The sequence below is a fragment of the Homo sapiens genome, chromosome 6, assembly GCF_000001405.40.
Source record: "Homo sapiens chromosome 6, GRCh38.p14 Primary Assembly".
In the NCBI taxonomy this organism is placed as follows: Eukaryota; Metazoa; Chordata; class Mammalia; order Primates; family Hominidae; genus Homo; species Homo sapiens.
The window spans coordinates 127,055,681-127,081,462 of NC_000006.12; the positions used below are offsets into that span (position 1 = coordinate 127,055,681).

The window sequence follows — 25,782 nt, forward strand, 5'->3', positions numbered from 1 at the left end:
TAAATGGACAGAACTTAATAGGATATATGTGTATATGAAGGGGAGTTTGTTAGGAGAATTGACTCACATGACCACTAGGTGAAGTCCCACAATAGGCCATCTGCAAGCTGAGGAGCAAGGAAGCCAGTGCGAGACCGAAAACCTCAAAGTAGGGAAGCCAGTGGTGCAAACTTCAATTTGTGGCCGAAGGCCTGAGACCCCCTGTCAAACCACTGGTGTAAGTCTAAGTGTCTAAAAGCTGAAGAACTTGGAGTCTGATGTTTGAGGAAGGAAGCATCCAGCACGAAAGAAAGATGAAGGCTGGAAGACTCAGCAAATCAAATCTCATTGCACTTTCTTCTGCCTGCTTTATTCTAGCCGCACTAGCAGTTGATTAGATGGGGCCTACCCAGACTGAGGGTGGGTTTGCCTCTCCCAGTCCACTGACTCAAGTGTTAATCTCCTTTGGCAACACCTTCACAGACACACCCAGGAACAATACTTTGCATCCTTCAATCCAATTAAGTTGACACTCAATATTAAACATCACTGCATCTAAGTTGTCATCATCCTATTCAGATTTTTTCAGTAAGTTCCTATTGGCCACAGAATGAAGGCCAAAGCAATTAGTTTTATATCCAGGATTCTCTGGAACCTGCTACTGAACTACCTTTCCTATATTACTTTCCAAGCTTTTCCCATTAATAACCCAAAATGCTAGACACATTGGAAAACTTAATACATCTTTTAAGAACTTCACATTTTTCACAGCTTTGATTCTGTTCTCTTTTCCTGGATTTTATCTATTGTCCATCATTTTATGCTAAAAAGATCTCTAGATTGCAGATACTAGCTCAAATGATATGTCCTTCAAACTCTTCCTGATGATTTTTCAAGAGAATTATCAAAATGTTCATTTGAATCACCTTGTCTTTGACCATTACAGGTGGAGTATCCCTTATCCAAAATGCTTGAAACCAGAAGTGTTTCAGATTTCTTTTTTTTTCTTTTTTTTGGATTTTGGAATATTTGCATTTACATACCTAAATCTAAACATGAAATTCATTTATGTTTTATATACACCTTATACACATAGCCTAAGGTATTTTTATATGTTTTAAATAATTTTGTGCATGAAACAGAGTTTGTACACATTGAACCATCAGAAACCATAGGTGACACCATCTCAGCCGCACATGTGGACAATCTGTGGTTGTTTGGCTTCACAGTCTGTCATTGTTTTTATCAGCTTTTAAACAACAGCAACAACAATCAACAGCAGACTTTCTCTGTGTATGATACTGTGTTTTGATTAAAAGTTTACATTGCATTTTATTTTTTAGATAAAAATAAACACCAGAAACAGTTGAGGGACCAAGAAGTGCCAAAAAGTCCTGTAGGGATGAGGAGGCATTCTGCTGGACAGCTTTTTAAAATGTTTCCCACAGTCATCTGCCTCATTAACAATGGTCTTTATCTTAGAAGTGTCTCTTTGATTTTATAAATTGACATGATTTCTTGTTATGTTATAATATATTATATTAGTCTATTCTCATGCTGCTAATAAAGACATACTAGAGACTGGGTAATTTATAAAGGAAAAAGGTTTAAGGAACTCACAATTCCACATGGCTGGGGAGGCCTCACAATCATGGCGGAAGGCAAATGAGGAGCAAAGTCACATCTTAATATGGTGGCAGGCAAGAGAGTTTGTGGAGGGGAACTCCCACTTATAAAACCATCAGATCTCATGAGACTTATTCACTACCACAAGAATAGTATGGAGAAAACCGTCCCATGATTCAATTATCCTTACCTGGCCCCACCCTTGACACGTGGGGATTATTACAATTCAAGGTGAGATTTGGGTGGGGACACAACCAAACCATATCATATATGCTGCTCCAGTCCTTCAAAAAGTCACACACGCATTTTCACTATGTCATCTATAGGCACTTTTTCTGCAGTGTTAGCATCACCTTCATCATCACTATTATCACGATCCCCTTTATTCAGAATCATTTCTCCTCCTTCACTGTCAGTCAGTAAATGAAGACCTGGAGCCTCATTATCAATATTAAAAACTATTTAATGTATACTTCTTCCATCTTACAGACAGGCTATGAAGGTCAGATATCATTTTTTTTCTCACTTGACATGTGGAATCCTTGAAAGTCACCACCTTGTTCATCATCCATCTCTGAACATTGTCACAGGCCAGAGGTTGTGCCAGGCATGCACAACTGTGTCTTTAGTCATGTGTTCCAAGCACTGGCAACAGCATCTTTCATGCTAAACTTCTTTTGAAAACATTCACACCCATGCCTCTGTTCATGCTCTTAACAGGCTGTTCAAAAAAGTGTTTTTTTAATATTTGCTCTTTATTTATCTAAGGATACCATTGTCACATGTTTGAATTAATGAAGTCCTATATGGGAAAAAGTGCACAGCAATAAACATTTTTGATGAAAACTTCAGCTACAGGATGAACAGAACTGTTGTCAAGGACTAACAAGATCTTGCAGTTGTCATATAGTCCAGCTTCCCTGCATTAAGCATGAGTCACTGGTATAAAATGTTGGTTAAACCATCAGAAAATCTGTCCCTGGTGATTTATGCCTTTCTGGTACCATAATAGTGAACTAGTTTGAAATTTGCTTCTTGAAAACACCAAGGGCCCCAACTTTTGTCTATCATAAAAAGTTTATACTTACGCATGCCTGCTGCATTAGCACATCTCCGCACAGTTATTCTATCCTTGGCATCCTTCATTCCTATAGGGGCTGTCTTATAGGGGCTGTCTTATCAGTTGTAGTCAATATCTTTCTGGGACAATAATGTCAAAACAGTTATGTTTTGTCAGCATTATAGAGTTGGTCTGGCATCAGATTTTCATCAGCAATGACCTTTGCAAACTCGTCAGTGAATTTCTCCACTACTTCATGATCAACAGACGTTTTATAACCAGAAATCCTGAAAAATTTAATGCCACATCCCTTCTGAAATTTCTTCAACCATTCTATTAAATATTTATAGTTCCCTTCAATTTTAAGTTCATCATGACAGATCTTTGCTTGTTTCATGATAGCATAACATTAAGTGGTATATGTTCACCGTGATACTGATGGATTCACTCTTCCAATAAAAGATCAACATCTTCATTTCTAGCTTTATGCAGTGTTTCTATTTTTCATTAACTTTGTCCATCATTTTCAGCATAGAACTTCAACAATGTATACTTTTTTTCTTCAGGCCATATATGGTGGTAATTCTAATACTATCCTCTTTGTACGATGTTTCACACTTATACCACTGTCCAACTTCTAGAACAGCTTGACTTTCTGTGCTACAAATAAATATAAATGCTTCCTCTTTTTTTAACCTCTTTTTTACCATAATGATAGCTGCAGGTCTTTTTGACATTTTATACCCAGAAGAGAGAATAAGCAAAAAACCCACAGTGAGTCATGTACACAGGGCTTGGCTCCATGTGGCACATCGTAGTAACCCACCATGGGCACATCCAGCCTACACATGTACCTTTTTTTTTTTTACCCATTGTTGACATACTTGCAAAGGGGAATCTGGCTATACACAGAAGAGATATATCAAAACTGAAGGGGGTTGGGAGGGTAATTTTTCCTTTGGAGGCACTGAATATACTGTGCATTATGTGCCTCCATTTTGACTACGACCCATCCCATAAGGTCAAGTGTGGAATTTTCCACTTGTAGCATCATGATGTCTCTCAAAAAGTTTTATATTTTGGAGCATTTTAAAATTTGGATTTCTGTATTAGGGATGCTCTCTCTCTCTCTCTCTAGCTCTCTCTCTTTCTATATACACACACTCACACACACACACACATACACATACAGATTGGAATACATATATATTACAGCTAATGGAATATATACAGTGTGATGGTTACTACTGAGTGTCAACTTGATTTGATTGAGGGATACGAAGTGTTAATCCTGGGTGTGTCTGTGAGGGTGTTGCCAAAAGAGATGAACATTTGAGTCAGTGAGCTGGGGAAGGCAGATTCACCCTTAATCTGGTGGGGACAATATAATCAGCTTCCAGCCAATATAAAGCAGGCAGAAAAGCATGAAAAGGAGAGACAGGCCTAACCTCCCAGCCTACATCTTTCTCCCATGCTGGATGCTTTCTGCCCTCAAACAAGGGACTCCAAGTTCTTCGGTTTTGGGACTCAGACTGGCTCTCTTTGCCCCTCACCTTGCAGACAGCCTATTGTGGAACCCTGTGATAGTGTAAGTTAATAATAAACTACCCTATATGTATATATTAAATATATATATTTAATAAACTCCTATATATATACATATATATATATACATATATATATATATATATATATATATGTATATATATATATATATCCTATTAGTTCTGGCCTTTTAAGAGAACCCTGACTAATACATACAGCTAATGAAAAACAAGATGATTTCCATTAGCTTGTTGTTTTCCATTAGCTCATTGAGGGCAGAGACAATTTCTGACTTATTTCATTCAGGAGACTGTCTAAAATAAGACTTGCAGTTAGTTAAATACAATTAATGTTGCTGGATTAATGTATAATTGAATATCCAGTACAAGAGTTTCTAAAGTTTTATATAAATCAATTTATCTCCAGGAATAAATTTTACAAAATAAGCAAGACCTGTAAAAAATTGTGAAGCTCTATTAATAGATAACAAAGAAACTTCAGATTCTCTCCAAGGTGGCATGATTCAGCCTCCCATCCTAAAACAACCCTAAAACCTGGACAAAAGTATATAAAAAAGCATTTTTAAAGACACAAACATCAGGAAAAGAATGATGAAAAAAAGCAAACTTTAAATATAGATATTCCAGCAAGTAAAAATGATCATATTTGAAAAAAAAATCACAATTTTGCAACCTCTAATGAATTAATGGAGTGAAAAGGAGACAGTATGCACTTCTGTCAGGTCTTGTCCCTCAAAATAATTTAATAAATTGAATCTCAATCTAATCAACCTTCTAAATCTAAAGGGCAATTTATAGAAAATACAGAGGACATAGGGACACATAAAATAACACAACAAGAATATAATCAGCAAATCGAAGACTGGTAAACCCTGGAAGACCTTTTCCTCAAGAAATAAATTGCAAAGAAAAGAAAAAGAAACGGAGGAGAAACAAACTAAAAATTACTTCAAGGCAAATCAACCAATCAGACGTTACTTTCATCTGATCCAAACAAAACACCAAGCATTAAGTAACATTTATGAGATATTTGAAGCTTTTATGATATTCAGGACTTATAGTTAGTGTTTAGGTGTTTATAATGTGACTGTAGTTATTTTTTAAAATGAGTTCTTTTCTTTTAGAGACACATACTAATACATGCGAAAGTAGATATAAGATCTCTTGATTTTGCTTCAAAATAATATAGGGAGAGGAAAAATGGGTAAGGGAACACATAAAACAAGATTGAACTTAAACTGATAATTGTTGAAGCAGATTTGTCTATAATAAAAACAGGTTTCTTAACCATTATTTCTTCTTCATAGGAGGCTTCTAGAACTCGAGTAATATTCTATTTCTTGCCCTTGTTGTTATCTGGGCATTATCATTTCACAATAACTTATATATTATAAATTTAAGACATGTGCACTTTTCTAGCCAGGTGTGATAGTGCATTCCTGAAGCCCTGGCTCCTCAAAAGGCTAAGGCAGGAGAATCACTTCAGCCCAGGAAACGGAGACCAGCCTGAAAAACGTGGTGAGGTTGCATTTCAAAAAAAAAAAGGGGTGCACTTTTTCGAATGGGTTTTTACACTGAACTAAGGGATCCCCCTCTTTGGCTGTGTCTCTTCTGGGACTTTTCCCCTACTCTCTTACCTGCCCAGGCTTTTTCCTGCAGTTACTATGCTTTAAGGTTTTTCTGATTTGGCACTATTGACTTTTAGGGCCAAATAATTCTTTGTTGTAGGGTGCTGTCCTGTGTATTGTAACAATATGTAGCATCTCAAACTCTCACCTCCAGTTACACCAAAAATGTCTTCAGACATTGCCAAATGTTTCCCGTGGGACTTATTGCTTAGGTCAGAAAAATGTCAGCATTTATTTTGAAATTTTAGCTGCCCATGCAGCACACCTGGTGAGTGAGGCTGAACTTGGGGCAAAACCATACAAAGGAAGAAAGAAAAGAAATCACCTTCCTATTCCACTTGCTTTTTCAGGCTTTAACTCACCTCTATAAATTCCCTACTTTTCTTTACTTTTTAGAAACTTTAGGTCATTTGGGGTTTTTGTTCATTTGTTATGATTATTTTTGTATTTTTTTTCAAAGTTTATACTTGCTATGAACTACAGTGATGAGGTACAGGGAACTTACATTGCCACAGTGGAATTAAAACTTGGAACAGTCTCCATTCTCTACCACCATGCACACACATGCACACACACACACACACACAATAAGTGAGTATCTAAACTGACTAAAACGTATATATTTTTTATATCTAAAATTAAAACTTTACTAGATATATCTCAGTGTCAACATTCTGGATCAATTTTTTTCTGCCAAACATGGTGACACTTCAATATGTGGATTTTGTTAGCTCTTTTTAAAGATATATTAGAATTATCTATATATTCGTAATGTTCCATTATTTTTTTCCTTTGGAGACTCCAATTACACTTATGTTGGATTTCTTTGAATCTATATTCAATCTGTATCATGCTTTCTCATTTTTCACTCTTTCTCTAATTTCCACTTAATTGTGTTTGGTTTCTTATTTTTCTCATCCATTGGTTTCTCCAGTGTCTCTAATACCTTGTAGTCTTTCCAATTTCATCACTGTTATTTATCTCCTTTATTCTTTGGTTCAAGTAGTTCCTATTTAATATCCTCCTAGTGCTCTGGTTTCTCCTTCCAGAGGGTTTTTTTTTTTCATTTCTTCCTTGTAGCTTTCTAACACAGAATTTATTAACTCAGATTTTATTATTTTCATTCACATAGCTGATAATGCTTTTCAGCTACTCCGTGGTGTTCCTTTTCTGGTATTTTTTTTATCTATTGGCATGTTGTAATGCTCATTTTCTTCTTTATTCTTACAGTATCTTTGTATAAATTCTATTTTTTCTTTTTAAATTTTATTATCTTTGAATTAGTTCAATTTTCTGGATCAACTGTTCGCAAGAGTTTTCTTTGAAGGTGAAGATAGAATGGGCCAGATAAGCCATACAGACTTTACATACCAAATTCTCTCTTTTACCACTACTGTAGAGGTGAACTGCTTCCTGCATGTATGGATATATTGTGTGTGCGTGTGTGTGTGTGTGTGTGTGTGTGTGTGTGTGTTTACTGTAACCATACCTCTCCAACTCCCTCTTCCCAGATCAAGGAGGCCTTCTGCCATCAACCTTAATCTCGTTAGTTCCCATGCTTATTGTAAAAAAGTGACTAGCCAGGGTAATATTTAAAATATTTAACAAATAGTACAGAAAGGAAGGGAGCAGAGAAAGCCAAAGCAGCTGAAAGGTGGTTGGTGAATGTACTCAGGGAGCGTGGAACAGCAACTATTTACAAATCTACTCTGAATTATTGCAGGATTTTAATAACTAACACTATTATGTGCACTGAATAACATCAATGCTGAATGTAGTTTTTACACTTTATGGTACTCCCCTCAGCTTCACAAGAACACTTTCGCTGGGGCTTTTTTTTCTTTTTTTTTCTTTTTTTTTTTTGAGATGGAGTCTCACTCTGTTTCCCAGGCTGGAGTACAGTGGCACAATCTCGGCTCACTGCAACCTCCACCTCCCCATTTCAAGTGATTCTCCTGCCTCAGCACCCCCAATAGCTGGGACTAAAGGCACACACCACAACACCCAGCTAATTTTTGTATTTTTAGTAGAGACAGGGTTTCACCATGTTGGCCAGGCTGGTCTCAAACTCCTGACCTCAGGTGATCCACCTGTCTTGGCCTTCCAAAGTGCTGGGATTATAGGCACGAGCCACCACACCAAGCCTTTGCTGGGGCATTCTGAGATATTCTGCTAGTGGGCCCTTCTCTGTCCTCTGCTCTTAATCTCAAATATATATTCATATTATAATTTTCTCCTACATTCACTCAAGATGGAGTTTTTATAGGTTTTTTTTTTTACTTGTTGCTTTTTAAGTGTGCCAGGAAGAGAAGGAAAAATACTCTAATTTGTATTTTTCCGTTTATACCAAAAGTCTGAGTTAAGAAGTTCATTGTTAAATGTTCTGATATGACAGGTTTTTTGGTCATTTTTGTTATTTATTTCCAATTTTGTCACTGAATGATAAGAAAATGTAACCTAAATTAAAAAGGATTTTGTTTATATGCCATATATACCTGTTACATACCTTAATAATCCTTTTAAAATAATATGTGGTCACATGTGTTCTCTAATTTAAGAGCAGAATTACATATGTGCCCAGATTATCAAGCTTTTTTATGTGTTGTTCAAATTTTCAAAATCAGTATTATTTTTAATCTGCTTGACTTATCAAATATTAAAAGAATGGTGTTACGTATCATGATGGTGGATTGGTCAATTTCTTCTTGAAATTGTGTCAATTTTTCTTATGCATAATAAGATTTTTTTTTTTTTTTTTTTTTTTTTTTTGAGATGGAGCCTCGCTCTGTTGCCCAGGCTGGAGGGCAGTGGCACGATCTTGGCTCACTGCAAGCTCCGCCTCCTGGGTTCACGCCATTCTCCTGCCTCAGTGTCCCGAGTAGCTGGGACTACAGGCACCCGCCACCACTCCCGGCCAATTTTTTCTATTTTTTAGTAGAGACAGGGTTTCACCGTGTTAGCCAGGATGGTCTCAATCTCCTGACCTCATGATCCGCCCGCCTCGGCCTCCCAAAGTGCTGGGATTACAGGCGTGAGCCACTGCCCGCAGCCAAGATTGTTTTGATAGAGGTGCACACGTGTTCAAAATTGTTACATCTTTCTGATTAGTATTTTTATGTATAATTACTTAGCAAAATTTTCTCTCTATAATATCTTTTGCCTCAAAATCTATTCTGTCCAATAATTATAAAGCTACACAAGTTTCCTCTTAGGATTTATTTGCCAAGTATATTTTTCCCATTTTTGTTTTTAATTTTTCTGTTCCACCAGAGATGCAATGTAGTGCAGTGGGGAAGACAGCAAGTCTTGAGCTCTCAGACTTCCTGTTAAGTCCCTGCTCTGTCACTTTATAATGGTATTATCTGGGGGGAAGTTTTTTAACACCTCCATGCCTCCGGGTTCTCATTTTTAAAACAGAGATATTAACATGGTATATATCTGCCTTAATTTTATATTAATCTTCGTGTTTGTTTGCTGAAAGGACTCAAATAGTGTTTACTCACAAAATAGCTTTATTATGGGTAAAGGATACAATGCAACAATGGCAAAACAAAGGTATTCATTGAAAGGGGTCTGGAAATCTCAGATGCAGGCTTGTCTTCTCACTATGGATTGCACTGAATTGACTTGTTCTCCTAGTTTTGAATCACCATCAAAATGTATGCAAAGCATCTTGGTACCAACAAGCTCAAAGTCTGTTCATGATGGGGTCTGTTATAGAGAGGTGGTCACATAGGCACATTCCAGCTATGTGATCATCCTAAATTACAAAAATTACCCAGGTTGCACCAAACACAGATGCAAATCATCAATTACAAAACAGTGTTGACAAATTGATGCATCCACATGGTTATAGAACATAATTTATCACTAGTTAAAATATATTATAACATTGGCCAAGGGTGATTACTCCAGGTAGTTCTGGACATAAGCATGAGGTCAACCCAGCTGAATACTATGTCAAAAGGCTTTTGTGAGATTTGAAGAAGTTACAATTCTAAGCACTGTGCTTATTCCTAGGTAAATACTAGCTATTTTTTGTTATGCTTAAGGTGTGATTCTTATAATTGAATTTATTCTTTTTGTTATACCTGAGATTATTTGCCTTTAACTATAGAGTTTGCTCTTGGCTGGGTGGGTTGGCTCACACTTGTAATCCCAGCACTGAGGAATTACCCAGAATGCAGCACATAAACATAACAAGATTCAAAACAGTACAGACTAGACACATAGGGCCTAGAGTGAGAGTGAGGAGATGCAGTATTTGTTAAACAGGGTGGTAAGCCCAATATACAAAGATAATTTCTCAGAAGTGATGAAAGACAAGAACACTTATATTAAAAACAACAACAACTCATCGAGTCTCAATCAGGACATATGAGAATAAATATGTACCTGTAAATACTGTAATGAACTGCAAAATCACTAAAGATTAAAATAATTCTTCAAAGCAACTAAAGATAAAAAATGTATTACCTAGTCCAGTCACAGTGACTCACGCCTGTAATCTCAGCACTTTGGGAGTCCTCAGCAGACAGATCATGAGGTCAGGAGATCAAGACCATCCTGGCTAACACGGTGAATCCCCATCTCCTCTAAAAATACAAAAAAATTAGCCGGGCATGGTGGCACACACCTGTAGTCCCAGCTACTCGGGAGGCTGAGGCAGAATTGCTTGAACCCAGGATGTGGAGGTTGCAGTGAGCTGAGATCGCGCCAATGCACTCCAGCCTGAGCAACAGAGCAAGACTACTTCTCTAAATAAATAAATAAATAAATAAATAAATAAATAAATAAAAGCATTACCCATAAAACAACTAAACTTCTCAAGACAGAAAAAGACCAGATGTTGTAGATAAAATTGTGTCTCCCTCAGATTCATATGTTGAAGTCCTAACTCTCAGTACTTCAGAATGTGACCTTATTCGAAATAAGATAATTAAAGATATAATTGGTTAAGATGAAGTCTCCCTAGAGTTGCATGGTCTCCTAATCCAATGTGACTAGTGTTCCCATAAAAGGGAAAATTTGGAGACAGATGGGCACAAAGGAAAGACGATGTGAAGACAGAGAGAGAAAATGGTTATTCCTCAGACCTATATTCTAGTTCAGACCTTCTCCTTTTAGCAGCACCTAATCTGCTTTCAAGTGGTCTTTAAAAAATGATTACATTGTTTTCCCTAGGGATTATATTTGGTTATTTTTCAAAGATGCCTATTCTTTTTTCATAACACGTTGTACTTTTCAATTTATTTTGTGTTGATATGATCAATTTAAACATATTTGCTTTATAATCCATAACTTCTAATTCTGTAAAGTTCTGTGTGCCTAATTTTTCTTTATTATATATTTTCATATTAGATTTTTTCCTCATCTCATTGGTAACTTTTTATTGTGAGTTCATCTTACTGGAAATCATTTTCTCTATTGGTAATTGCATGTGGCCAGGAGTGTGAAAGTGTTCTCTCTGTTACTTCTACCAGGTAAATTAAGAGTATTACTCGTTCAAGATCATTTATTTCATTAATTTTATAGCTAGGAGCACTCCTGGAACTTATAAATAATACAAAGTAGTGTCACAAATCAATGCAGTTTTCTTTGTTCCTCAGTGTCTAGCCTGGAAAAAAAACTTACATTCTGCTTGGGCAAAGAAGTGTTTTTTAGTCTACATTTTAGTTTAGGTGTACTTCTAATTTTATCCAGAAGGTTTCCATTTTTGTCTGCCACTGTTGACCAACTTTTTCAAAACACCATGCACACAAGAATGATCACTGTTTTATAATTTTTACAATTACGTAGGAGTAGTAGAGAAGTGAATGTAGTGATGATAATATAACAGCACAGCAGATGACATAAATTAGACATTTAAAAAAGTATTTCAGTCTCTACCCACTGCCACCTCATTAAGAAATAGAAAAGTCTATTTTATTGAGACTCTTTGTTTTTATTCATTTATTAATTCATTTCTTTGTGCTGACAAAAATGTAAAATTCTTTCATTTTTATTATGAAATTGCTTATACCCTTCCGTCTTCTCTGCTAATTAAATTCTGGTTCTACCTTGGCACAATCAAAACCTTATTGAGTTGCTCTATGAACCCTTCTAGCTTTGAAATTGCAGGCTTTTCTCTTTATTATGAATTAAATCCAACTTGTCAAATCAAATAAAGTCTAATGTGAAAAATAAATTACTACACTTTAAGAGTAGTGGGTTAATTTTCATGTATATAGGTAGGTATTTAATCATTCCATGTTGTTATTTTGTTGAGATTTTGCTTTTGCTACAGCATGCTTTTTAGTGAGAGATACTTAAGTTTTCTCAAGAAGACTACAGACATATTTTCTAATACAATGATAGAGGTAGAGAAATGCAAATCAAAACCACAATGAGATATCATCTCAGACCAGTTAGAATGGCGATCATTAAAAAGTCAGGAAACAACAGGTGCTGGAGAGGATGTGGAGAAATAGGAACACTTTTACACTATTGGTGGGACTGTAAACTAGTTCAACCACTGTGGAAGACAGTGTGGCGATTCCTCAGGGATCTAGAACTAGAAATACCATTTGACCCAGCCATCCCATTACTGGGTATATACCCAAAGGAATATAAATCATGCTGCTATAAAGACACATGCACACGTACGTTTATTGTGGCACTATTCACAATAGCAAAGACTTGGAACCAACCCACATGTCCAACAATGATAGACTGGATTAAGAAAATGTGGCACATATACACCATGGAATACTATGCAGCCATTAAAAATGATGAGTTCATGTCCTTTGTAGAGACGTGGATGAAGCTGGAAACCATCATGCTCAGCAAACTATCACGAGGACAAAAAACCAAACACCACATGTTCTCACTCATAGGTGGGAATTGAACAATGAGAACACTTGGACACAGGAAGGGGAACATCACACACCGAGGCCTGTTGTGGGGTGGGGGGAGGGGGAAGGGATAGCATTAGGAGATATACCTAATGTAAATGACGAGTTCATGGGTGCAGCACACCAACATGGCACATGTATACATATGTAACAAACCACATTGTGCACATGTACCCTAGAACTTAAAGTATAATAGAAAAAAAAATATAAAAAGAAAACTTAAATTTTCTTATTTAAGTAGATCACATAAATTAATAATTAAGAGAAATTTCTAGTTTCCTTGGCCTACATGGCTTTATATGATATTCAATTATCTATCTTTAAAAATAGGTTTAATTTTCATTATTTTATGGTATTTAGGCAGGAATGCTCATGTCTGGTTTTCTACTATAAATACCCTGACTGTCATGTGTATAGGTGACTGTTCTGGATATTCTTGAACTCAGTATTAGGGCTTTCAAGCATCACGAAGGGCAAATCTCACTCTAACTATTCCCAGTGGGCCTCTGGCAAGTGGGTTAACCATGCATGGATGTTCTCCAATGCTACTGGGTTCAGAGCCAACTCAGAGGATTCTGCTTTCTCACGTTGGCCAATATGGGTGGTAATATCAACCCTGGTATTTTTCTGAGCCACAAGCATGAAACCAATCTTAACATTAATTGGCATAATAAGAACAAAAACTGTATCTGACCTCACAAAATTCAGCTTCACAAATGTAGGCTTTCCAAAATACAAAAATGACAAGTTGAGAAAAATCAAGTTTATTCAAGCTTGAAATTCAAAATTTTTTGTTGTTGTTAATATCTTTCGCTAGCAGACACACACATATGTATATACACAAAACTAAGAATATCAGTCCATTTTTATTTATTCAACATATAGTTTGCTGCATTCTATTTATTTATTACTAAACAGTTATACTAACACTAATTATATCATCTGACCAGAACCTCTAATTAGAAGCTTGATGTCTTTCGTTCATATGAGTGTAGAATTGATGATTATTTTAAAATAATAAGTAGATAAAATCTTCAAATATATAGTTCCAAAGTGACAGAGTGGTCAGATGTAACCAATTATAATTTGAGTCATTGCCATTAAAAATAAAGAAACTGTACATAATTCATACTCTGATAGTATAGTTATCATTGATACAACCCTGTTCTGTTCTATAGATGCTACTGCATCCCAATGCATAAGTGGCAAAGTCTTTATCCTAGGTCTTGGTCTCTTCATTCCTAAACTTTCTGTAATATTTCTTTGACTATAGATGTAGGTGTGCACACACACACACACCTCATTTTGCAGTATTTCTCTTCAATTTTATATCTGGCATATATCTCTATTTAGCCAATCATCACACTGATATGCAACCTTGGTTAGGTGTTTATATGTCTCACCGTACTCTGTTGCTTACCTTTGTTTCCAGCATCTATCCCAGTGCCTAGAGCACAATAGACACTCAATAAGTATGTTAAGAATGAGAGAATCTGTCCCTTCAACATTATTTTTTTCTTTTTAAAAGCAATTAGCCATCTCACCACTATACAAAAAGAGCACCTAGTTTGACCACTGAAAACTGCAAACATTTTGTCCTTTTCCACCCTGTCCGTATCAGGAAACACTCTTGAGTTGATAGTATTAACTACCACCTAGTGGCTAGGATGGGAACTATATGATTTGATATATGCTACCTGCCACCTTCAAGAGACTTGGGAGATTTAAACCTTTGGAAATAGGGTTTATCAATGACAGCAGGAGCAATAAGTAAACCCCAGCAGAATCTAATTTCAGCTCCAACAGTCACACACCTGAGCGCTCTTATTTTGGGTTTGGAGCATTTAATGCTCCTTTGGGATATTTGCATACAGCAAATATCAGACTTCTTAAATCCAAACCTCTCATCTCCCACTTACTATCTGAATGACTCTAGACAAATTATTCAGCATTTCTATATCATAGAGTTCTTCTCATCTATAAAATTGGAATGTACTATATGGCCCTTCATAATCGTAATATCCACATTGAGGATATCAATGTACTATATGGCCCTTCACAATTGTAATATCTACATTGAGGTTCTCGTGAAGAAAAGACATAATAACCCATGTGAAGATTATCGCAATATCTGCTTCTTAATAACTTAGTAACTGAGTATTGTTTCTGTATTGACCTAGTCTGTCTAGCTCAATAGTCTAGCTTCCTGGCTAGTCTGTCTTCCTTTGTAATCAAGGGTGTGAAACAATCTCTGATTATACTGCCTACTCATGAAATTTTTCTCCAGGTCGGGTCTTCATTTTCATTTTCTTCCTTTGTTTGAACTAGTGTCTGCTCTGGCCTTTCTGGCCCTGTCCTCTTTATAAGTCCAATGCATGTCTCAGTATCTCTTCTCCACAACCTACTTCTTTTCATTGAGAAGGTTTGTGTCTGCAATAATGTTCTTACATTTTCATTTATATCACAACAGAGATAATTCCATCTTGGGTACTATTCCTTGTCTATAAATATACTGCTCTGGCCATTTACTCCTTCTCATGTATCTCCTATTGTATGCTCGATTTATTCAGAAACACTTACCATCCTTTCTGCAAACTCATTCCTTCTGTCCTAAGGTATGGCTGATAACACATGTGTGGGCCTGTGGAAGGTTACCTGTATAAGAAAAGAGAAAGGTTAAACATTTTAAGTAAAGTTAGCCACAAATTCTATGAATGCTATCAGTCTTTGTGTATCTCCTTAAAAACCCACACAAACTTGCCATTTTCTAACTCTCCGTCTAATGAAAGTATACTTTTTCTTCAAGCACCAGTCTACAGGAAACTATTGTTGAATCTTTCTCATATAATTTCATTGTCAAAAACAAAACATGTTCTGCACATATTTACACTTCAGGTGTATGTTTTCTTGAATAAAGTAGGCATTTGTACTAATCTTGGAAACCTAACCACCACCTAAAATAGTGTTATTATAGGACAACGTTGGCCAAGTGAACTTATAGTAGACAACTTTCTTTTAAGTTAGGAACTGGATATAAGATGAAGAATATGATATCTGAGCTGAATTATTTGGGCCTAGTTCTGCCAGGCATGTCCTCTTGTTTTCCAAGTTAGACAGTAATTCAGTCTTACTTTAGTTTAGTTTAGTTTTGTTTTGTTTTCTCCTCCCTGGTGAAATGACAATGCTTTGAATTTTAGAATGATCAGAACAACACAATCAGATACTTTTTACTCAGGTTCCATTAACCAAGTAACTAAATATATTACTTTAGTGATGACAGTCTTGGGTTCATTGTGATATTCACTGTATGTTGGGCACTTGAAACATCACTTGTGGAGGTATTATATGTCTCAATAACAGGTCAGACTATGGGAATTCCTTAGTTTTTTGCCCTCAGTCAGGTAAGATAATTTGTTCTTATACATTTGGATGAAGGTGAAGTTACTCTCATTGATAACTGCAGTTGTACCAACATAAAGTTTCATTCCACTTGTTTCATTCTCAAGATGGACATTCTTCTACTCATCACAAACCAAGGTCTAAAGCTGTGAAAGGCTAGAAGTTAATTACATTTCCTTCTGAGTTTCTTCTGCTGTGGCTTGCTGGTCTTCCCTTGTTCTTCTTAGAATGCACTGGCAAAGGCTCCAGAACCAGGCATAAAGCAATCAGCCAGAGATCTGCACAGATCCTAAGAGAGAAGACCCTAGAATTTACAACATAAACTTCTTGACTTGCAACTTCTGCTTTGGAATATAATATGAAGTTTGGGAAGAGGTTTATTTTGTGATTCTAGATAAATTATTAAAATCATGAAAGGAAAGAAATCCTCAATGGCGGAACTAGAATCTTTGTGCTGTATTAGAAATGAATTTAGTCATGAGGTTTTGTGGTCTTAAACTTTTTTTTAAGTGTCTGAATTTTGTACCCAGGATTTCTTAATGCACACATGAAAGAAGGAAATTGGAAAAAACCTTTAATGATACTTCTATTAATATTCATGACAAGAGACCACTTCTGAGGTACTTATATTTGGTCCTTCAGGTCCTATTAGTCCACTGCCTACAATTTGAAGACTTTTTAAAAATGACTCTCCTTTCCTAAAATCACACAAAAATGGCTATATTTACATTTACCTGGAGACCTCTCATTATTTGGAGAAAAAAAATTCCCTTAAATTAAACCTGCTTTAGAAATGTTTAAATTTATGCACTCATGACATATATATTCCAAATGTCAGTCAAACTATGCACATTTACAAAGTAACCTGACCCTCACCCTCAAGAAGGGAGATAATACACAAACATGTGATAGAACCAGAAAACAATTATAAATCCATATAGACATAAGAATGAGATAACATGGTAGATCAGTAATCTGAATAGAGTATTCATTTGCAGAAAACAAACTGTAGAAAGACAGTTAAGTGGTATCCATGTCAATATTGGAATTTAGGAGAATTTAAGCACTGTAGAAAAGGGACAGCAGGAACTGTATATCAGTGCAACCAGGGAATAAAATTCAGAGCAAGATGTTACACTCAAGGAAAGAGTGAAAAAGTATTTCAGATGAAGATTCCATTAATTTATAGAAATTCCCCCCAAAATCAACTTTTTAAACAAGGAAAATTACCATTAGTTTCACTAGTTACCATTAGTAGCTAGAGATAATTTCATAATCAAGAGGGAAAATATTTCATATTGCAATGTTGTAGCCTACTCAGTACAATGTGATATATAAAGAAATTTTAATCCAGCAAATGTTCTTAAAGATTTAGGTAGGTTGGAGTTCTTGGCTATGTTAAAATCTAATACTAGAAAGAATTTAAATGTGAATATTTAATCTTGGAAATTATGTATTAAAAGACATTAAACTAAAGATGAGAGAAATATGCCAGGGCATTTTGAAAGTTAGACAGGGAATTGAAATTGAATCTTTTGGTCAATGATGAGCAATATTGACCAAATAAACAGAATCTCTACTAAGGTAAACCACAGCTGCTATCACTTCTGTTAACATAGCAACAGAGAATGATTAACCTAGCAACGAAGTTCTAAATAGCAAAGAAGGAGATATTGACTGATGAAAAATTACTTGGTATTCAAAGAGTTTTCTAGAACAGGAGCAAGTAAAATATCTGTTTCAATAGAGACAGATATAAAGATCTGGAGGAGACATTCTCACTAGAGCCCAGGGAAAGGCAACATATCATAGGAAAGTTCACTAGTTCTGATTTCCACTCATTCGATTTAAGGTCCTAATATTTAAAATATTGACTTCTCAAATCCTACAAAAATTATTGCTCCCACATTCCTCTTAGTGGGAGGCTTCTTTAAGGGCTATCTACCCCAATCCCCATCACCAACACTCAGAAAATGACTGCTTTATCTTTGCTTCACCTTGAATCCCTCTCTGTCATAACAGTATTGCACATTATTACATATTAACAAAGAATACATGATACTTGTAATAAATTGGGAGTTTCCTGGGGCCAATGTTCATTATATTTTTATTGCCTTAAACAGTGCCTGACATCTACTAGGTAGGAAAGAGGAAGTTTAAAGTTGATCTTGAACCAATATTAGCAGTTAGATGTCATTTATTATATACCTTCATACATCTTGGATTTCTTCTTCTTATCCCTTAACATATTTTTTATTAAATAATTGTCATTGTAAATATTTAATGATAATGAGTACCTTCCCCACATATCAAGATCCATGACAGCAGTGATGCTCTGTCCTGTTCACTTGTGTGAATCTATAGTTTCTAGGACAATTTAACAGAAGCTCAATAAATAATTGAGTGGACAAACAAATAAATGAATTGATACATGAATTCCCATGATACTTTTTATCTAACCACTGGTTTTTCTTAATTGACTCATATACATATCATATATATATATACACATTATATATATATATATATATATATATATAGAGAGAGAGAGAGAGAGAGAGAGAGAGAGTAAATTTTGCAGTTTAGGCCAACTGAATAAATTATGGCATTCGATGCAAAGTGAAGATATAAAGTCCCTTGTTCACAAAGCAGGAAAAAAGTGCCATTAAAAGTTATTAAAATACAAAGCTTTTTCTTTTATATTGTGCTTTTTCTGTTAAACCATCATGGTGTTTTTATTTGCTATTTAATGTCATTCTAAATAAAGAATAATTAAAGTTTTAAATTTTAACATGAATTTTACTGTTCATTTTTATATTGTACAACATCAGTTTTAAATGCAAATATAAAAACATCCAATTGTAAGTAGAATCATTGAAATTATACAATTCCTATTTTGTAGTTTATACATGCATATGCACTTGGTTCTTACTAGAACAATATAAACCCTGCACAAAACTAACTCACCTGTTTTCATTTCATTTCCTGATATGCACACATTGTACTCACACTCTCTACCTTCAGTTTACCCATGAGTAATGAAGGAATGAAAGAAAAAGAAACTGTGGGTTTGCCCTATCTCTCTCTTTCCTTCTATAACATAGCAGCTTCCATAACACACTTAACCTTGTATTTACTTTGAGTCTTACTGAAACCCCATGCCTCATGGATTCATTGCAATTCTGTTGATGGGGCATCAAAAAGGCTCTTTACAAATGGATGGCAAGGAACTGTAAACACACATATTGCTCATACCTTCTCTGCTCATAGGCATGCTCCATTAGCCCAACAAACTTCAGTTACAAATCACAAGTTTAAAAAAAATTATTAAGAATTTTAAGATGATAACAACAGAGCATTAAACCAAGTACAGGGCCTTTCTGAGGACAGAAACTTGTGTGACCTAAACAGATTCTATATCCATGAAGCCAGCCCTGCAAGGGCTGTTGTCTTTTAAACAAGCCCTGTAGTCTTTTAAACAACAACCACATCAATCTAAATAAGCTAAGTGGTCAAACAAAATTGTCTTGTAAAAGTTTTTAGTATCAGAGGGCAGGTGACTTAAGTTTTCCTTAGGTTGAAGACCAATTGTTGATTAGTTTGTGCCCAAAAATAATACTTTCAGACTGTAAAAAGAAATGCTAATAAGGTGATTGCCAAGAATCTTGTAAATTTGAAACTTGTAAAGATACTCTTTGTAGTAATACAATCAGAAAAAAGGCTCTCTTACAGATATATTCATATCTAAAGTAAAGAAAGGTTTTCACATTATGGGATGGCTTCATTAGTGGATTCATTCATTCATCATTCATTCATGATGTGCAGAGTTGCAGTATTAAGATGTATTTCATACTGTGGGTCATCATTACAAATGCCATTGTCATAAAAATCTGTATCCTCAGATGAAGCCTATCATTTATAAACTCAGGAACCATCTTTCCAAAGTATAACACAGCTTAATTTCAGGACAACCACGTCACCTAAGTAATTCTGAAATTTTTTTTCCACAAGTATTGCCTTACAAGTTTAGATTCACGTGGAAGACTATGTTCTCCAAGGTTTGTGAATAATGTACCCAGTACTTTTAACATTTTCACTAGCCACCCAAAGACTGAACATTTAGAAACAAAGAAAGGAAAAACACATTTATTTATTTCTATTATCAGATTTAATCCTCACAATAATTTTTAAGATGAACAGTATCAGCCCTTTTTTATAGGTAAAAGAAGTTGAAACTCAAAGAATTTAAGTAATTTGCCAAAAGTCACATATCTCATTTGTAGCAAAATAAGACTTAGAACCTAGGTTGCCTGTACTGAAGTCCATCCAGCATTTAAGTCTCCTGAGGTGTTATAATCTTATTTAAAATACTAAAAAGATTAAAATGAAACAGAGAAATGACATAACTGATGCACAAAAATCAAGGATTGATTGTGTTACAGTCTAGTGAAATATAATTTAATTTTAGACTCCATTTTCCCACTGAACCATACCATAACTAATAGGCAATATTCTTTTGTGAATCAGAGCCTCAACATTTGCGTTTTCTTGTGGTTACATTTTAAGAAATTATGTGCAATGTTTTGATTTCTTTGTACCCACAATCCAAGCCACTCAAAAACAACAAAATTCCACAAAGGAGGAGGAAAAAATAAATCTTAGAGAATTTGGAAAGAACAGTATCAACTTTTTATAGCAATCATAAGAAAATCATCTACATTGGTATCAAATATCAGGTTTCCAGCACAGGAAAAGAAAACTGGAGTACCTGCCATTTTAAATTACTCCCTGTCATGTTTTTATTCCTCCTTTTCCCCTGGGATGTTAACGTCTTGAAGAAATATGTGTGTGCTCTGAAAATATTTCCTGAAGTCAGTGGATTCCATATGTTCCTAGAGAAACAAATTATTCACTCCGTGGGTCATTCCCGACGACATTTAGATCTTCTAATCAGTACATTTAGGCCCTATGCACTTTGTATTTTCAGAGCTCTCTTATATAGACCTAGATAGGACTCATGAAATATTTTCATTGACTCAAACCCTCCTTTTATCTAAAAAATCACACAGGAGCACACATACATACACTCTTTCTACATATTACACACTGAGAGACACGCAAATGCATCTTCTTTATTGTTTAACTACGTTGGACACTGGTATAAGAAAATTAGATGGTTTTTTTTTTAACTGAGTAAATAATAGTTCCAAATCCAAAGAAAAACTAGAAACATACAGGAACGTACACTCAATATCTGTAGTTCATAGACATAGTTGATCAGAAGGAGAAGGGCAAAAATAATAAATGACTAGAGATTGTTTTTATTTGATTTCTGTTTGTTTTATTTTTCTACAAAAAAATAAAGACCAAGAATTGGAGTTTAACTTTTGCTTTTCTTTGGGAAAAAAAAAAAAAGTGCAGTGCTTGAAACACTTTCTTCATTTGGTTTCAAGGCATTGCTCTCTTTTTGTTATTTAAAATCCCCTTAATGATTACTTCCTTATTGTCTTACTTTGATGTTGAAGTGTCCTCAGATTATTTCACTGGTCCTCTTCTTTGTTAACCTTAGAAATTTCATTAATATCCTGGGCTTCTATTGCCAGTGATATGCTATAAATTCCCAACTGTATATCCCATTCATTTATTGTACACAGCTTTGTTGATCACTATGTCCCAGACATTTATGTTAGCTGAAATAAAATAATCATGGTCATCACCATCTTGAAACTTAAAGTAGAGTACTACAGCCACACACTAAATATGTAAATACGCCAAACAAGTAAGTAAATAAATAAGAAAAATTAAATGATATAGAGCCATGAAGAACAGGACATAAAGAGAATAAGGTAGGAGAAAGGAAAGTCACTAAGGAATTGACATTTAAGCTTAGATCTAGAAAAAAGAAAGATCCAATATAGCTATGATCTGGGAGAAAATTGGTCCAGGGTTTCTGGCCTGGAATCTCTCCATTCCTAATATCCTCCTGAGCTCTGAACACACTCCAACAATTGCCTACTAGACAGTTCATTTGAGTAGCCTATAATTTTCTTGATTTTAAGAGGTAAAAATATAATTTCCTATACAAACGCAGTTGTCCTGCTACTCCTTGCTGCTATTTCCATCTTGGTTAAAAGGCACTACCCAAGCTAAACATCTCGGAAGTCTTGGCAAGAATCTTCCTTCTCCCTCACACCTTACATTATTCCACACCAAGTGTTGTCCATCCTGTTCCTCATAGAAGGTACTTAATGAGTGTTTCTGGCTAAGGAATGAATGACTCAATCAGGAAGTGAATGAATGGAAATGTTACTGGGCTTCTGATTCTTGATGAGAAAAACTTCTAAGCACCATCAACAAATCTGTCTTAATAGCAGTAGTACATGTTTTTTCTTAATTTAGGATGTATATCCTGCCTTTCAAAGGAGCTTAATCTACTTTTTGTTGAACTCATCACAGTCTTGAAGACCTGTAGGAAGAAACTAGATTCCAACGTGCCACCAGATCTCACCCAGCCTGAAATCAGGTCTTGGTAAATAAAATTTACTAGAGCCTCTGTTTTTTTTTTTTTTTTTTTTTTTTTTTTTTTGAGATGGAGTCCCGCTCTTTCGCCCAGGCTGGAGTGCAGTGGTGTGTCTCAGCTCACTGCAAGCTCTGCCTCCTGGGTTCACGCCATTCTCCTGCCTCAGCCTCCCGAGTAGCTGGGACTACAGGCGCATACCACCACACCCGGCTAATTTTTTTGTATTTTTAGTAGAGACAGGGTTTCACCGTGTTCGTCAGGATTGTCTCGATCTCCTGACCTCGTGATCTGCCTGCCTCGGCCTCCCAAAGTGCTGGGATTACAGGCGTGAGCCACCACGCCCAGCCAGAACCTACATTTTTATTTTAGGAAGTTTTGTTCCTGGGAAGAGCATCAGAAAAAGAAAACGATGCTCATCTTTTCCTCTCTTTTACTACCTATACACAGTGAATTCATAGATTTATACTCCTGCCCATACATCTTTCCTGAAGTACTCCTCTACAGAATTGTATATCCAACTGCCTACTCAGCATTTCCATTTAGATGTCTAATTTACTTCTTAAACATAAAACTCCAAAATGAATTTCTGATATTCTTCCCCAAACCCTGCTCTTTGAACAGTCTTTATCATATATGTTAATAACAAGTTCCTCCTTCTAGTTACTCAGGACAAAAACTTTCGAGTCGTGCTTAATTCCTCTCTTTTCCTTATATTCCATATCCAATCCTTGAGAAAATCTTCTTGGTTCTACTTTCTAAATGATTCCAGAATCTGATCCGTTATAGCCATGACCATCTCTACCACCTTATCCTAAATTGACATTGTCTGCCTCTCGGATTGTTGCAAAAATTTCCTAAATGGTATCTCTGTTTCACACTTTTTCCTTACTTCCTTTCTCAAAAGAGGCCAGAGAAAGACTTTCTGCTCAAAATGCTCCAATGGCTCCCTCTTACCTGGAGTAATATCCTAAGCCCATACAGTGGCATAATAGGCCCTCTCTGACCTGCCCCATTACTCCTTATGCATCAACTGAACTTGTACCCCAACTTGGATCTGCACATCCACTGGTCTAACTGAAGCTTCCATGCCTTGTCAACTTTTTCACAGTGCTCCCTGGAACTCATGGGTTTGTCATCTCAACAAATGCTGTATTCTCAACCTCTTCTCCATTGGTCACTTTGCCATATTAGATCCAGCATAACTTGTATGCCCCTCAATTGATGGCTTTTTCTCCCACTCAGCAAGATGAGCTATGTATTCTTTCTGCCCTTTATGGCTACTTCTGTAATAAGTATAGATAAATATTTTTTAAATATATCATTTGATGTGGGTTTATTTTACTTAAAATAAGTGTATATAATATATAATACAATTTTGGTATATGAAAGATTTTCCCATCTATTATTTTTTCCCAAGATTGTTGAATACCAAAAGACTAGGAAATGTTAGTATGCATTTGATATTATTTGTTCTTGGCTTGTCATGTGTAATTGTGTCATATGAATAGGTCCAAGCCAAGCAGAGATAACTTAGCAGTGTAAAAGTAGCATGACAGCTAAGAAAGATTATTTAAGGTCACATAGGATGGCCAATTGAAATTTTTGTTTGTCAGTCTTGGGGTTAATCACAGTGGCATAACACTGATTTTACTTAGCTAATCCACATCTCTTCCATTTTCAGAGAAAACTAAGCAGCCACACCTTGTTCTTAGAAAATATTTAATAACTGAGAACTAAAGTGAGGTTGAAATGTCAAATAATATTTCTCATAATAAAAATAAAGCACTGGGACCGGCTCACGCCTGTAATCCCAGCACTTTGGGAGGCAGAGGCAGGCAAATAACTTGAGGCCAAGAGTATGAAACAAGACTGGCCAGCATGGTGAAAATCAGTCTCTACTAAAAATACAAAAAGTAGCCAGGCTTGTCAGTGCATGTCTGTAATTCCTGCTATTCAGGAGGCTGAGACATGAGAATCACTTGAACCTGGGAGATGGAAGTTGCATGGTTGCAGTGAGTGGAGATCGCACCTCTGAACTCCAGCCTGGGTGACAGAGTGGAGACTCTGTCTAAAAAAAAAAAAAAAAAAAAATCATTGGACAAAAGGCAAAAACAACACTGGATATTGTTGAGTCAATTAAGTTATTATATAAATTCTACCACTAAATTGCCATAAGAAAAATAAAACCTGTCCTTTTAAATTTGTCTGTTTTTGAATTCTAACAATATTTTTAATCTCAATAGTGATTTTAAATAATAATAATTGAAGACAAGAATAAATCCTTTCTTTGAATACATTAGGCATAGGAAACGCTGACCTATACAGACAAAACAGAATTCCCTCATTCAACCAAAATAATTTGAGTATCAAAACACCACAATAAGCACTCAGAACTACCCCATCCTTGCCCATGCTAAAATGACACTCTAGTTCTTTGGATTCATCATCAGAATATTAAGAGATAAAAGTGAATATACTTATTAAACATCTATTGTGTAGATCTCTGTGGGCTTTTGGAGCCATAAGACAATTTAAGGAAGAGAAATAATTTAATTAGGCTTGAATAATAAATAGAAAGCTAATGAGGCCTCAGGAAGTAGTCTAAGAAGTGTTCTGCTGTGGTAAATACAGTTTTTTCAAAATCACAAGACTTTGGGTGCACTGAGAGTCATACGATTTTTGCAAGCCTGTTAACCTTTCTGGACTTTCTCCTGTGACCAAAAGGGAAAAATAATCCTGATTATCTCTTATGATTACAAGGAGGATCAAATGAAATAATGCCTGCAGAAGTGCTTTGGGAACTACAAAGCACCATGAATATGCTCCAGCTGCTTTTAGTGGGAGAAATGATGTGAATCAAGACCAAGAGGCCACCATGAGCCTGGTATACGGAAGGGGATTAGGTGGACAGTAAGAAAGCTAACTGGGTTGGAATAGAAGACTTATTGGGAGTGATGTAAAATCCAGTTAGATAGATTTAATTAGGGTCAAATTATTTTATTTTCAATCTTAAAAAGATGTTCAAAGTAACTTTAGTAAGCAATGTAAAAGCACTCTCAAGCTCATGCAGTTGGGGAGAAGGGGTCAAATCAAATCAAATATTGTTCTGGCA

General features: G+C 35.6%; 1 long non-coding RNA gene across 7 annotated transcripts in view; it reads right to left on the reverse strand.

Annotated features, from left to right (window-relative positions):
- LOC105377989 (uncharacterized) overlaps positions 1–25,782 on the reverse strand; it is a 347,578-nt gene that overhangs the window by 190,414 nt on the left and 131,382 nt on the right. For all 7 annotated transcript variants that reach the window (XR_002956387.2, XR_007059748.1, XR_007059747.1 and 4 more), the window contains one exon: positions 15,332–15,406. This is a non-coding gene — a long non-coding RNA (uncharacterized LOC105377989). The remainder of the gene's footprint in view (positions 1–15,331; positions 15,407–25,782) is intronic.